Here is a 16,182-nt window from a genome sequence, read left to right as displayed (position 1 = left end):
CTCAGAAGGCTCTTTGTTTGACCCAGAGGGGCGCGTTCCTCCCAGAGGAGAGAAGCTGGCACCGTACCATCTCCCTGGCCAGGTGGCCCCACAGGTGGTCCTCGCCTCAGCTGTGACTCCTTTCGAGGGTCCCGTCCCCGCAGGTGGTCCTCGCCTCAGTTGTGACTCCTATCGAGGGTCCCTCCCCTGTCAGTTCAGTGGCGGTGGAGGGGTGCATTCTCCCACAGTCAGGGCAAGCTGCTCATCAAAAACTCCCTCTGGCGTCAACCACAGGGTATTTATCCACCCCAGAAGGGAACAGAAGTCAACCCCGGAACCAGGTACTGCAGGGGCCCAGGACGGCCTGACAGAGCTTCGGTGCAGAGGGAGAGTAGGGCAAAGCCCAGAAAAGCTCACAGGTAGAATTCAAATTCGTTGGTGATGAATTGGATGTAAAAGTTAAGAAGAGGAGAAGGTCCAAGCTAATTTTCAAATTGAGACTTTGGGCAAAGGGGAGATTGTTCTGTGATCAAGAGATAAGCTACAGAAAGAGAAGCGGGTTTAGATGGACAGCAGGCCAGGGAGAGGAGAGAAGGGTGATTTCCATTTGTAGGCAACACTGGTTTTGAGCTGCTTAAGGAACATCTGGATGAAGATGCACTAGAAGCCATTGGATTTGTGGGTATTGAGCTCAGGAATGAGGCTGACCCGGAAATACTGCCAATCTGCTGCACAAATATTCACTACGCCGCAGGCAGGCGCTGCGTTAGAAACACAAGAGCAGGCAAGCAGACGTGACTCTGTGGGTCAGATAAAAGAATAACAACAACCACCGCTTCATTTACAGGGAGCTTATAATCTTCCCCCACTGGGCTGACTGCCTCATTATTTCACGGAATCCTCCCACAAACTAGCTGAGGTCCAGGACTGCTTTACAGTCGAGGAGACAGAGGATTGGAGTCATCTGCCCAGCACACAGTGAATAAGTGGTAGAATGGGAAGCAGATTCCCGACAGTCTGACCCCAGAGATGTGCACAGCGCTTGTGGTCAGCACCATTGGCTGCTCACGAGGAGTCTAAGGAGACAGAGACCGAAAGCTGCTGAGCTTCGCCACGTGGATCTGCTGTGGCCCCCAGGGGGAGGGTCGGGGGGAAAGTTACTTATAGTGTGAAACCATCAGCTTCTCCTGGTTTGCGATTTGAATGGGCCCACAGGTCAGGGCACGCTTAGAAAAAGTTGGGCTGGGCATGGTGGCTCACGCCTGTAATCCCAGCACTTTGGGAGGCTGAGGCTGGCAGATCACTTAAGGTTAGGAGTTCGAGACCAGCCTGGCCAACATGGCAAAACCCCATCTCTACTAAAAATACAAAAGTTAGCCGGGCGTGGTGGTGCGCATCTGTAGTCCCAGCTACTCGGGAGGCTGAGGCACGAGAATGGCTTGAACCCATAAGGCGAAGGTTGCAGTGAGCCCAGGTCATGTCACTGCACTCCGTCCTGGGCAACAGAGCAAGACTGTCTCAAAAAAAAAGAAAGAAGGAAGGAAGGAAGAAAGAAAAGAAAAAAGAAAAGAAAAAGAGAAGAAGTTTGACTGTAAGAAAAGAAGAGTTTGGGGCAGCATAGATCATAATGCTGGGCCCCAGGGAGAAGGTTTCTTTCTTTCTTTTGGAGGAAGAGATGCAAGCAGGTGAGAAGAGGAGCAATGGGAAGAGAGAGGGTAGAGACACAGAGGACATTTGGTGGAGACAGTCTGAGAAACTGGGCTCCAGGTGCAGGAGACAAGGAGGAGCCTGCGTGGGGAAGGAGGCAGGAGGGCGCAGGTGTGCCAAGGGCAGCCACCGGATGGGGCAGCCAGGCAGGACTCTGGGCAATGGGGTTATCTTGCTGCCCTCAGTGTATCAAACAGCACTCAGGTTCCCCTAATGACAAAGGACAGATCAAGGTGTGTCAACCTAAAAAGCACACAGTGAGAGGCCCTCTAAAAGCAAATGATATTTATTCGGGGATAGGGCACTGCAATGGGAATAGCATGCCATAGTAAACTATGTGTGTATTCCGAAGGATGAAGGAAGACAAAGTTATTAAAGGAAAAATGAGAAGGATTATATCATTGTTTTGAGAGAATTCTCTTTGGCTACTGGGATCAATAAAAAGAGGGGGCCAGTCCAGGGTTGAACAGGCACTTGCTGTGCAGATGTGCCTTTTGTGTAAGCTGCAGTGGGCCTTTGTGCAGGCTCGCATCGTTCACAGAGTCTATCGTGATTGTTTTCATGCTTAGGAACCCTCCTTTCATGGCCTTTTCCTGTATTATTTGTCAGAGTTTTCAACACAAGTGACTCCATTTTGGTTCTGGTAACTTTCACATTCCTCTTTTGATCAAGATCTTTCTCTGATCAACCATCCTGCAGTTAGGTTTTGATTTTCCCTCAGTGTAAGGATGGACCTGTCTTGATTTGGTCTGGTCTGCTTCTACATTGGAGGGAGTGACTGGTGACAAGGAGTCAGTGTTGAAATCCATTCAGCCACATTTGAGCAAGAAGGGAGGCCTGGAGGGAGTGGTCCTCAGACTAAGCCTGCTTGGAGTTCAATTTTGTTAAGTTGTTATTAAGCTCAATTTCATCTGTTCTGTAGGTGTTGGCTATCAACTCAAAGTGCTGGGCCAGCATCCTTCTGCTAGGAGTTGTCCTTCTGCAGAAATTTGACAAGCAACAGAGACAAAATGTAAAAAGGACAATAGAGATTAAAATTAAGAGTAATCTCTCAAACCCAGGTTATATCATGGTTTTGAGACATGAACGTAGGCTGAAAGGCCACCAATTAAATACATTAAATGACCACTATTCGGTCAAGTTTAAAAGGCATTAAGACAAGTAAGAGTGTCATTGCAACATAGAGTCTTGTTTCCATAATCTTATGAAAGACTATCTATAGTGTGAAACCATCAACTTCTGTTGGTTTACAATTTGAATGTCTCTGGTTATGGCATCAGGAGGTTTGGTGAATTTTTTTTTGACTTATACATTGGGTATCGGACTTGTTCCTTAAAATTAACCTAGGTTCAGCTTACAGGACTTCAGGAATGGTTTCCATTTTTAGTACCTTTATGGAAAAAAAATTGGATTGGAGGAACCTAGAATTTAGGATTTAGTCTAGTCTATAGGTAGAAACAAGAACTCTAAAACAATGCACAGAGCTGTAATCTAATAACAGGTGTATGGGCAGGTTTTCTCAGAAACATAACTTCTTCTCTCTACATTAATCACACAGGAATCTCAGATTTTAAAATCTCTTGAGGCTAGAAAGTCAAATTAATACTGACTGTAGATTCCACCTACTGTCTCGAGGTTCCTGGGCCTGCCAGAAAGTGACAACTTTAGTGACTATAAGATCCTACTAACCCTTACAAACAGGCATTCTATGCACATCCCCAAATGTGATATTTCAGACAAAACCTTGGCAATATAACCAATGTTTTCAATTGTATCCTCTTTGCAAGGGAGAGTGAATTCATATTGAAATTATGCGAATAGCCATATTGCCAAAAAGTAATGAGAATAAGAATACATCCTGACAGTTTCCACTCCTGGCAGAATCAATTAGGGAGAAAAAGGAAATACTTCCATCTTTGTTCACAAAAGTATACTTCACCAAGTTATCATAAGCTGTAGATAGCTTAAGAGAGAAAATTTCCTTAAGTCTGGAAAACAAAAAAATTTCCAACAATGTCCCAGATGAAAGTCATAGAAATATTATTTCCATCAGTTATTCAGCTTATGTGATTAATTTTTGTTCTGCTTGATCTCCATTATCAGCTTCATGAACCCATCCATTTCCTCATTAACGTTCTAAAAATCTTTAGTCTATTGATCTTAAAGTTATAAGAAAACTGTAATTAAGAGTACTTATTGGAGTCTTTTCACAAATCTGACTGCAGATGCTTTCAGACAGAGACTTAAAACAGTAACTGTGAATCACAGAGAGTTAGAATAGCCATGGTTATAAATCTGAACGAAAATTTACCATTATCAGAAATTGACAAGAAAACTTGGTTAATTTGTGGCATACAGCATAAAAAAAAACAGAATTAGGACTTGATGATGTCCTAGACTTCTCAGAGTTTTGTGCAATTTTGGAACATTCGTATCAATAACATACCCATCAATGTAACTGAAGGAATCTCTAGCATCTCTCACCATCTGACAGTGCTTACCATGCAATTTGCCAAAAAAGCCTTATCATTTAATATTTCTACAAGATGAGAGAGACATCATTTTAGACTCCCTAAGGGCCTGAATGGACAATCTATAATTTTAGGTCAAAACTACTTAATTTAGAATTTTGATATTGGGGGAGCCCATCAAAGATACCAAAAGTGTTGAAACATTTGATAAAAACAGAATCACAAGTCATTGTGGAAGTAATAGTCATTCATTTAACCCTCGTGATAGAGACTTTAATAGCAATACAGAAAGTTACATGGATTTATAAAGAAACCTTAACCCTTTCAAAGCACAGTTTGTCTAAGTAATCAAAAACTAATAAAGACAACTGAGGAAATTATCTTGATAACATGTAAAATCTTTGTTTCTTTAGGCATGTTACCAAAAAGTTAAAGAAAATCCTCCTGCAATGTGATGGCTTCTTGGAAGCCCATTTTGATAAACTAGAAGTCAAACCTGATGGAAAAGCTACTTGAATTTAATAAGACACAGCAAGAGTGTGTGTCCAAGGTCATTAGTGTAGACCATGGAACATGAACAACATCGCTAGTATCTTGAGCACGGGAACACATGGCCTCTAGTAACAGCATGATGAGCTTCCTGTTACATGGAAAAATTCAGACGTACTGAGAAAAGCCAGGAGTTCAAGTTGTACTGAATTTATATGCCTTTCTAGGCTTTCAAGACAGAATTTTCAGTGTCAGGTTATAACAGCAGACAAAACCAGAGAAAAAAGTTATAGGAGCTGACAAAAAAATTAAAGGAGAGAGTCACTACCGGAGCCTTCTCAGGGGAGAAAGAGCTGAAGGCAATGGTGCATGGCTGGCAAATCACATACAGCAAGAAACAGCAGAAGGGAAACTTCTGAACAGGAACCTGAGAAGCTTCTGGAGAGAAATTCCACCCTGAGAAATAAAATCATTATTCTCAATGAAGAAAACAGCATTCCTAAGCTGAAACTAGGTACATTAAATGGATCTCAGAAAAAAAATTGGCAGAAACATTAACTAAAACAGGAAGAAGCTGCCCTTCAGGAGATGGTTGAAAATGTAAAGAAATAGACTTCAGAATTAGAAATCAAAACCTTTTGCAATATTTACCAAGAGCAGATCAATATTTTTGTTTAAAATCTTGTTGTTCTAACATGGGGGGAAAATTTTAGCTTTGTATCAGTGTATTTTTTTTTCTTTCCCCCTCGTTAAAAAAAAAAAAAAAAAAGAGGTAGGAGAAAGGAGAGGAGCAAAAAAGATAACTATTGGGTACTGGGCTTAATACCTGGGTGATGAAGTAATCTGCACAACAAACCCCTGTTATATAACAAACCCTTCCATGTACCCCTGAGCCTAAAATACAAGTTAAAAAAAGAGACAGATATTGCTATGTTGCTTAGGCTGGTCAAGTTTTGTATCAGTGTATTTTTAATATCAAATCTCAATCTTTAGATGGACATATAAATAATTTTCTTTTAATTATAGCCAACTTGATTACACACACATTCCCTTCATAAATCTATCCTTCATGAACCATTTGTGACCTGCACAGACCTCCCACTACACACTTAAGACTTTCTGCTCTGCCCCATGCATCCTCTTTCTTACATAACCAGTTATTTTACTTTAAGACAAAAATGCACCACTCAAGATTCTTTCTCCTACAAAATTACTCTCTTTTTAAACTTTTTTTTACCATAAATACAATTTTATGTTTAAAACTCTTTTCATATCTTTGTCACCTATTTACCAGTTTCTATCTTGCTTCTATTTTTTTCTTTAATCCATACTTTGAAACAACCTTTTAAAATAAGCTCTGAATTAGACAGAATTGCTCTTTTTTCAATAAAAAACACACTTTATGCCTTCCTCATTTTTGTCATTAAAAGCACATCTTAAGTTTTGGCACACTTTCTATATAGAATCATATATATATGCACACACACATACACACATAAATATATAAATCCAAATTTTAACTCTTAGTAACCCTAATTTTTAGTTAAAACCAAAGCAATTTTGAACTGTCTGTCCAATATTAACATTTTATCTTATTTGAGAATCACCCAGACATTTTATGGGTATCCACAACTTAATTTAACATGACGTTAAGACTTTACATGCAAAGCTCATTCGTAAATGTTTATCCCATTTAAATTTACCTAATTTGTTTATTTTTAATGGTTTACCTATATTACTTATGAAAACTAAGATATTAGACAAAGCTAATCATTTTGTTATTTTCCTAGTAACCATTTTTCTAGCCTATGAATATAATGTACTTCACCTAAGTAAGAAACTTAAAGTAAAATACATGGATATTTTGGTGATGACTCAGAAGATACAGCTAATTTTCTTAAATCAATAACATTATATTAGCCTTATTTATCAAAGAGTTATACAAACAAATATTATTCTGCTTTTAGGCTGAGTTTATAGTTTTATAACCTTGGTGTCAAACCGTGACGCCTTAAGTGAAGACAAATATAAAACCGTCTGGCCAGCAACCTCAGGTAAAAATGTGTGCTGACAATTTTAAAAACATTTCTATTTTTATTTTAACAACAATGTTAAAACCAGCTTATTTATCAGTTACTGAAGTCATGTGAACTAAGAGATACTTAATTACTATATAGTTTAACAACTTCTATGAGCACCTATTTAAGCCAAACTGAATAAATTTTCTGAAGGAATTTTTAGCTGATTATGCCAGATTTTACCATGTAGATGTAATATATAACATCATACATGTGGATACATGTAAGTACACCTAAACACACGTGTACACACAAAGATCTTACAGTTTGCATTTTAGGATTTTAGTCATGATACGGTAAACATACCAACTCATCAGTATAGAAAAGACAGTTAGACCCAAATTATGTTTCCGACAAATTGGGACACCTTCACGTGGCTAAACTTTTTTTTCCCTGACAGATAATCTAATGAAGGTGGTGGACCAACGTTTTGGGTAAAGCAGTTTCCATAGCAGTTTGACTTTTAAAGAAAACTTTGTTCTTTTTTACCGTTTGTTCAGTTTCAAATGAGTTTAGGGTTGAATTTTCAGTGTTGACATTTCTGCTAGGGCTGGCTGAATTATATACAATAAATTCTCCAGGTGGCCTTGGACCCGCAATAAATCTATCTGGTTTTACCAGTCTGGTTTGGTTGACTAGTCTATGCAGGCAGGGAACCATTTTAGCAGAGTTTTTTTACTTTTCTGCCCCTTCATGGCAAGACAAAACAACTTTTATGCCAGACAGAAATATTTTTATATTTTTTCTGTGAACTCAAGATTTTGACCTGTTTGATCTTAGGGCCTAATTTTATAAACAATTTCTACTACTTTTTCTTTTGTAATGTCATTCCTTCAGTTAACTGTTCCATTACTCTAAGCAATTGTTAGTCAGGCAAACCTAAATTTACATTTCCAAAAGGTGTCTTGGTTGTTGTTGGTTGCCATGGAGGTGTGGTAATTTGTAAAGTCAGTAATTTGAAAGCCCGTTAAGACTTTTTTAAAACCTTGTCTGGCATGTGATAAGCAATGAATTTTTTCTCAACATCTGCAGAAGAGTCAGCAAATGCAAAGTAGGAAGAAAAAAATATGTATATATATATAGAGAGAGAGAGAAAAGTTAAAAGACTCTACAAGTTAACTCTGTAGCTGTAGCCTGAAGGAAAAATGAGCTTGGGGAGTTCAAAAGATCCCCATTGCTGGAGCGGTAGCTCACGCCTGTAATCTCAGCACTTTGGGAGGCCAAGGCAGGCAGATCACAAGGTCAGGAGTTCGAGACCAGACTGGCCAACATGGTGAAACTCCGTCTCTACTAAAAATAGAAAAATGAGCTGGGCATGATGGCACGCGCCTGTAATCCCAGCTACTCAGGAGGCAGAGGCAGGCAAATCACTTGAATCCAGGGGGCAGAGGTTGCAGTGATCCAAGATTGCGGCACTGCACTCCAGCCTGGGCAATACAGCGAGACTCCATCTCAAAAAAAAAGAAAAAAAGGTCCCCATGATGACCAGTGATGTAAACACATGCGCCGGGAAATGCTTGTAACCATTTGGAGTCCCAGAAATCTCGGTGGCCTTAGTATTTGAGAATTCCATTTCATTTCTTCAAGAGCCAAGAAAAGCCCATAGATCCTGTGGAGCAGTGTCAGGAGCTTGGGTCAGTGTCTTAGACGGCGGCAACTGCTGAGTGGCTTCTAGTTAGCCATCCCACACCCACCATGAAGAATGTTTGTGTTTGCTCTGGGAAGATTTTTTAGAAACAGTCAAGGGGAAAAAGAGCCAAATTATTTACAGATGCACAAAACTAAACCAAAATGAGCCAACATCAGAGCACTCACAAAATTCTAACTAGACACTCCGATCCAACAAAACATTATGTTGGGCAGAAAGAGTCCAAAGTCAATCCACCCGAGAAGACAAGAGCCTCGGAGGCAGAAGGTAAAATCCACAGGAAGCATGGCACTCAAACCAGAGGGGCACTGGCCTTTATACCCAAGAGAACTTGCCAAGAAGGCAAAAAGTCCCCCATTATCCCAGAAGGGGTGTGAGCTCTTTTATTTCAGGTGGTCTTATAACCCAACCAAATCCCAGACAGAGTAAAAAAGCTTGTACCGAAATGAGGGCGGCTCAGCCTGAGAGAGGACTCACCTAGGCAGAAGAGGTGATGGAATCCCCATGGAAACAGAGAGCTCAACGGGGTCCAGTGAGAACTGCACACAGGTCCAAGAACAGCCCATCCTTCCAGTCGTGATGTTTCTTCAGCTCCTGCACTGAGCACCATCTTTGTCAGCCTAAAGAACAAACAGAGACAGGCTCTCTAAAAGAAAATGACATTGATTTGGGAATAGGCATTGCAACGAGAATACGTCTGCTATAGTAAACTATGTGCATATTCAGGGAGGTAAAGGAAGATGGAGGTTTTTAAAGGAAAAATGAGGATGGAGGTCACATCATTGTTTTGAGATAATTATTCTTAGCTACAAGAATCAATAATAACAAAGGTGGTGCCAGTCCCGGGTTGGACAGGCAGTTGCTGGGCAGATGTCTGTACTTTTGTGTAAGGTCGAGATGCTCTTGTATGAAGACGTGGGTTTTGCAGAGTCTTTTGTGACAGTTCCTATTGTCAGGCATTCATACATAAGAACCCTCCCTTTACAGCCTTTCCTGGCTCTATTTTTCAGGGTTTTAACGTAAGTGACTCCATTTTGATTCTGACAACTTTCACAGCGGAACTGCTTCTGAAGACACAACTTAGTGAGCACGTCACTTCCACGTGTCATCTCTGACCCTTGTCTGTTTAAATCTAAGCAGAACCTCATGGGTGATTGGGAGAGACCATGGGAGTGAATCCAGCTCCGGACTGTCACATCAGAGAAGCCCAAGAGTAAACCCTGTCCAAAGAAGGAGGGACCAGGGTGGCCTGGGCCTCCCTTGCTACACCCCAGGGATTCTGCAGAAAAATCGCAGGCCATAAACACCCCCAAAACATGCGAGAATCACCAACACGCCATTCAACCCACGTGGAAAATCACCAACACGCCACTCAACCCACGTGGAAAATCACCAACACGCCACTCAACCCTCGTGGAAAATCACCAACACACCACTCATCCCACGTGGAATTCATTTTCCTGAGACAGAGTGGTTCATGGGGACAGAGGACACACACTGGCCCTGCCGAAGCTTTATTTTTAAGTCAGTGAATCTTAACGTTCACCTGAAGAAAACTTTACATTTACTTCATTAAAGCAGTTAAGCTTTTCCAAAATGAGGATCTTTTTCTTAGCACACATTTCCTCCACCGAGGCGAATATTTTGTAAGTGCACCACACTCTGCCCTCCTGTTCTTCTTCCTCCCAGGCTGTAATGCAAACATCCAGCAATCTCACCTGCTCACATTCATTGCTCAGTGTTGAAATGTGATAAAGCAAAGTGTGATTGTAACCACAGGAGTAATGTGGACCGGTGTCCTGAGAGCCAAGCTACAAAAGGCTACATCGACCTGGGGTGTAGGGAACTTTGCATGGAGAAGCGACATCTGTGCCAGACTTGGCTCTGGGAAGTCTCTGCTGGAACACCTTGCTCTGTAATGGGCAATGCCCCACGTGGATTCAGTTTCCCATTTCAGTCCTTGTCCTGTGCCGTATGCCTCAGTGGGTGACACAGCCACGCCCTAGCAGTGCAGGCTAAAGCCTGAGCATCAGCCTTGATGAGCGACACAGAAAGTCCCCCGCTTAATGACTGTATTCAGGAAGTCCCCCGCTTAATGACTGTATTCAGGAAGTCCCCCGCTTAATGACTGTGTTCAGGAAGTCCCCCGCTTAATGACTGTATTCAGGAAGTCCCCCGCTTAATGACTGTATTCAGGAAGTCCCCCGCTTAATGACTGTATTCAGGAAGTCCCCCGCTTAATGACTATTCAGGAAGTCCCCCGCTTAATGACTGTATTCAGGAAGTCCCCCGCTTAATGACTGTATTCAGGAAGTCCCCCGCTTAATGACTGTATTCAGGAAGTCCCCCGCTTAATGACTGTGTTCAGGAAGTCCCCCGCTTAATGACTGTATTCAGGAAGTCCCCCGCTTAATGACTGTATTCAGGAAGTCCCCCGCTTAATGACTGTATTCAGGAAGTCCCCCGCTTAATGACTATTCAGGAAGTCCCCCGCTTAATGACTGTATTCAGGAAGTCCCCCGCTTAATGACTGTATTCAGGAAGTCCCTCGCTTAATGACTGTATTCAGCGCTTTCTATGAGCAACCCTTATACAAGCTTTGCAGATACAAAAGCTAAGAATATCGACAAAATCATCGTCTTTGTGGAGCTTACATTCTCTCACCCCCGTGACTCGTCAATCCCCAGGTCCTCTGGACTTCACTTCCTAGGCCTCCCTCAAATCTGCCCCCACTCTCCAGCTCCAGGGCCACGCTGCAGCCACCGCAGCAGCTCCCCAGGCCTCAAGGTCCCAGCTGAACCCTCTCAAATCCATTTCCCATGTTGTAGGAAGAGTAAACTTTCTGTACAGAGGCTTGTTCATGTCCCCCCAATGCCTTCTCAATGAAAATCAGCCCTTCAGTGAACCCCCCTGGGTCCCCTGAGGCTGGTCTCCTGCCTACAGCTCTGGTGGCACGTCCTGCCCCTGGCTGTCCCGCCCCTTGCTGCTGGCTGCTTCACTGGCCTCATCTCTGTTCCTCAGATGCTCTGTCCCTTCCCACCCCAGGATGACCCAGCCCAGCCCATCCTCCTGCACCCCCGCATAGCAACCTCCTATCCCTCACACACAGCCCCTGTCACCCCTGGAGGGAGGCTGCCCCTGTTACTCATCCTCTATGTACTGAGCTTTGACAATTTGTCTAGAATGTCTCCTCCCATTAGACTGCACAACCACAGCAGCCAGGACATCACCATTGCTTCCCTGGGGCTCAGCCTCGGGTTCCCTGGAAGAGCTCCATTAATATGTGGGTTATCGTTCTGTTCCTACAATTGTTGGACTGATCATCACCCCCCTCGTCGCTGCCTTTAGAAGCCATGCAAGAGAGAATGGATACGCTAATGTGACTCCATCTGGGACCTGAATGGCCCACCTGACAGGTGGAGGCTGGGTGGAATGTCCCTGGAAATGCTTTCTAACTCACTTCCAGAGCACTCACCCCAGCACACTCACCTCCCCTGCACCTGCCCCCAGCGCACCGCATGTATCTCATCCTGATTCTGATTCCCGCTGGCTCGGCTACTCTATGACCCTCTGTCCTGGGATATCCTAGCTGAGTTTAAGGAGAAAGGTCTCTGTGAGGTGGCCTCTCCCTTCCTCTCCACAAGGCTGGACAATTCATTTGGCTGTTTTATTAAAATGGTGATATGGTTTGGCTCTGTGTCCCCACACAAATCTCATCTTGAATTGTAATCACCATGTGTCAAGGGAGGGGCCTGGGGGTGGTGATTGGATCATGTGGGCGGTTTTTCCCTTTCTTTTCTCATGATAGTGAGGGAGTTCTCATGAGATCTGGTTGTTTCATAAGTGTCTGGCATTTCCCCTGCACACTCTCTCTCCTGCCACCTTGTGAAGAGGTGCTTTCTGCCATGATTGTAAGTTTCCTGAGGCCTCCCCAGCCATTCAGAACTGTGAGTCATGTGTTTATAAATTACCCAGTCTCAGGTAGTATCTTTATAGCAGTGGCAGAAGGGACTAATACAAATGGTTTTATCAGTTGTTTTCACATTATGGAGACACAACCTTGGGATGAGTCAAGGCAAAGACTCCGTTGAATAAAAAGCCACTTTACGTCCTCATGCAGATTTGCCTGCAGGTTGAGGTCACAGGCAGTGGTGCTCTGGGCCTCTGGCTTCACCTGTGCAGCATGGGGAATGGGGCCATGTGCCTCACGTTGGGATTTACAAAGACATCATCCTAAGAAGGCCACCCAGCTAGGACAGATGCCTGTGTGGGGCACTGAAGCCTGCTTCTCTGAGTTTGCCAGGGCTGTCCTCACACAAGATCGCACACCAGGTGACTTAAACCATAGAGAGCCATTGCCTCACAGTCCTGGCCGCTGGAAATCTCAGATCAGGGTGTCGGCAGGGTTGGCCCCTTCTGAGCCTAGATGGAGAATCTGTTCCAGGCCTCTCTCCTTGGTGTGTAGACGGCATCTTCTCCTGTGTCTCTTCCTTGCGTGTGTCCAAATATCCCCTTTTTATCAGGGCAGCAGTTGTACTGGGTTAGGATCTACCCTAATGAACTCACTGTCACTTGATTACTTCTGTAGAGAGACCCTATTTCAAATAAGGTCACATTCGGAGATACTTGGGGTTAGAACTGCAACATATGAATTTTGGGGACACAGTTCAACCCATCACAAGGTTGGCATAATAACAGTAATAATACCCCGATGGAAGAGGGCCTGGATTTCAGTTCTGAGCTCAGTACCTCTGTCTCAGTCTCTCCTATATAAAATAGGCCTAAGTATATCTATTATACGCGATTGGAAAGACAGATTCATAAATGTTGCAAAAATGTTCTGAGCTGTTTGAAGCCCTGTACAGCTGTACAATTCACAGCATACCTGGCTGCCTTGTGTAGTCCCATTGGCAGTCCTGGGTCTGTCCTGGACTTGGAATACAGAAGACACACAGCCACCATGAGCCACAGACTCTGGTTGAAGTAAGACCCCTGCCCACAGCCACCCAGGCTGAGTGGGTGCCAGCGTCCGAACAGGGCTCTCCAATCACGGAGCCCCTGCATGGCGGAGGGTCTGCCGAAGCCCCTGTGTGGTGGATGGTCTGCCGTGTTTCTTCACTTCTGCTTTTTTAATGAGAATTGAATCAAAATGAAAGGAAATTAATTGCATGTTTGAGGCAACAAACCATCCAATCTTCAGCAGACTTTAGTTGTTGATTTATTTTTAGATAATTATTGATATGGGGACAGATAAAAGACACATTTATCATAAGGAGCCAACATCAGGAGCAACACCAAACTCAGGCAAAATGATCACGATATAGTGACAGAGGTGGCTCTTAGAGCACTTTGGTTTCTGTGTGCGCTTCATCCCATGTGCCACACCACGCCACGCACTGAGCCCTCCATGTGGTGACCACATGCTGTGGAGATTCGTGCATCCCACCCAGGGAGTGGGCAGGAAAGTCAAGCATGAGGTCAGTTCTTGGGTCCAGGATGATGACGAGGCCCAGCCCTCCTCACAGGAGCGGCAGGAGGAGTTTCAACATATGATGCCAGCGAGAAAACATCCCTCATAAAATAAAAATGACATAACAGAATGATGTGGTCCTGGTGGCTGAAGGGAGTGACTCTCTTTCCAAACACTCTTCCATGCTCTCGGGAACCATTAGTCATGGCCCATCATCTCCTGCCATCCACCCTTTAATTAAATTTGCTCTGCTGATGGCCTCGTTAACAAACATGACAGCAGGTTAAAAGAGGGAAAATAATTATTAGAGAGTCAATGCTTTCACAGTAACCCAAATAAAAGCTTATATTTGTCAGAGAAGCTTTCACCAAATAGACAAGATCCACCTGACCACAGGAAGAGATGCATGATGTTGTTTCTCCTCCCTAGAGTCTGAAAAAATAAGACCAAATCCACAAAATGCCAAATCCTATTTAGTATTCCAAAAACAAAGGTGCCTAATTGCTACCTCCTCTGTCAAAACATATTCTGCTCTTAGTTTTCCAAGCTGTATTGTCACACATGTCATTTCAAACTCTGGAAATCCTCTATGACATGCACCAAATGGACCTACCCGCCTTCAGGTAAATCGATGTTCATTCAGCTAATATTTCTGTGTAGCTTCTATGTGCCAGGCTCTGGGCTAGACTCTAGAAACACCATGTCGAGAAGACAACACACTCCCAGACCTCAGGGTGATACTTGAGTTGCAAACATCTCGTCTTTAACAAGGGAGCTGGGAGTGCAGTGCTGAAGGTTCAAAGCCTGATTTCCACCCCCAGCTCTGCTGCATTCCAGCTCTGCAGCTGTGGGCAAGATTCGGTCTCACTGCCTCAGCTTCTTGGTCTGTAAAATGGGGATAATAGTCCCTGCCTCATAGAGGTACTAAGGGAATGAATGCGCTCAGACATATGAGGCACTTGGAATGATGCCTGATGCTTGCCAAGTCATGAATAAATATCAGTTATTCATCATCATCATCATCATCGTTGTCATCAGTGTTAGCTTTCCAGCATCGTAACTCTTTTCACAATATTCAATGGAGTCCTGGCAGCAAAGAAAATCTAGAAAGAAAAGCTGTACTAATATGGCTGAATGGAAATAATTTCAACACTTCATTTTAAAAAGCCAAGTGCTTTTTTAAAAAATCAGGCTTTATTTACCTATCAAATGATTTGTAATCGAATTTGATTACTCATTTTTCCCATGAATGAGATAAAAAATGCTTACTTAGAAAGCAATCTTAAAATTATTTGTTTAAAAATCTGAATTTCATCAAATAACCCTGGAAGTAACTCTCAAAATGAAATAAATTTCCAGAAACTTTTTACCATCCATGCAGAACTAAAGAAAGTATTCTTTCAATTATGCCAATTTACGTGTGATAAGTAAATGGCAAGAAACTCTGTGAAAATGTGCAATGCTTTTCTGACGTCTGCATAAAACGTGATGGAGGGGGCTCTTGAAGTAAATCAGTTTCTAGTTCCCCTAAGTGATAACGACAAGAGGTAGACAACCCTAGAATTAAGAACTTTGAATCACTGACCCCTGAAGAATTCACTGATACCTGAAGAATTCACAGAGCCTAGCCCATTTACCATGTTAGTCTCCAAAGCCCTGACGTGACCTATCCGAGGTCAGGGCAGCAGCCAGAGGACCTCCCTGGGCTGTTTGGAGTTTTGCAGACAGTCCTGCAGGTCTTTCTAAAGCTCAAAGTTATCCTACATTCCTCTGTGAGGGGACTGAGTCCAGTCACAGTCTCAAAGTTTACAATTGTTTGTTTTGATCATATTTCTGGTGCTTACATGAAATTAATTTAAAAAGTACCGGAAAGTAACCCACAAATTTAGGTTTCCAAAGAACTGTACAGAAACTATTATGTTTCAATCAACAAATCACTGGAAGTTGGGAGTTTTACGAAGCACTCTGTTACATCAAAGCTGATGCTGCCCGAGCCCTGTTTTCTCCACGCCAGCCTCTCTCCTGCCTCCCGCCGAGGGCACTGCCACAGAGCAGCTTCCTCAGTGCTTTGACCTCAGCTGGTTTGTGCGGCCCAGCAGCAAGCCTTTATCTGGGGAATCTCCAGCTGTCAGAGCACCAGCCCTGGACACAGCAAATGCGTGCCAGAAGAACCAGCTGACCTACATACTCTAAAAGCAATGTGAGGGTTCTGATGTGTCAAGCCATTAAAAAGCCCTGTTTTCCATAACTTAGCCTTTCCCAGTCCTCACCATGGGCTGTTGAAATCTCTTCTTGCTCCAAACACCAGTAGCCACGTTTGCCTCTCCCGTCTTTCCAGGA

General features: G+C 43.3%; 1 annotated feature.

Annotated features, from left to right (window-relative positions):
- Positions 10,008–11,207: an enhancer, noted in NCBI's record as "P300/CBP strongly-dependent group 1 enhancer chr6:168568969-168570168 (GRCh37/hg19 assembly coordinates)". NCBI's record gives its function as "activates an origin of replication core promoter dependent on BRD2, BRD4, P300/CBP, MED14 and CDK7 cofactors, with strong dependence on P300/CBP, by STARR-seq in HCT116 cells {active_cell/tissue: HCT116}" and the evidence as "EXISTENCE:reporter gene assay evidence [ECO:0000049][PMID:35650434]".

The sequence above is a fragment of the Homo sapiens genome, chromosome 6, assembly GCF_000001405.40.
Source record: "Homo sapiens chromosome 6, GRCh38.p14 Primary Assembly".
Taxonomy (NCBI): domain Eukaryota; kingdom Metazoa; phylum Chordata; class Mammalia; order Primates; family Hominidae; genus Homo; species Homo sapiens.
This window is presented reverse-complemented; position numbering and strand designations above follow the sequence as displayed.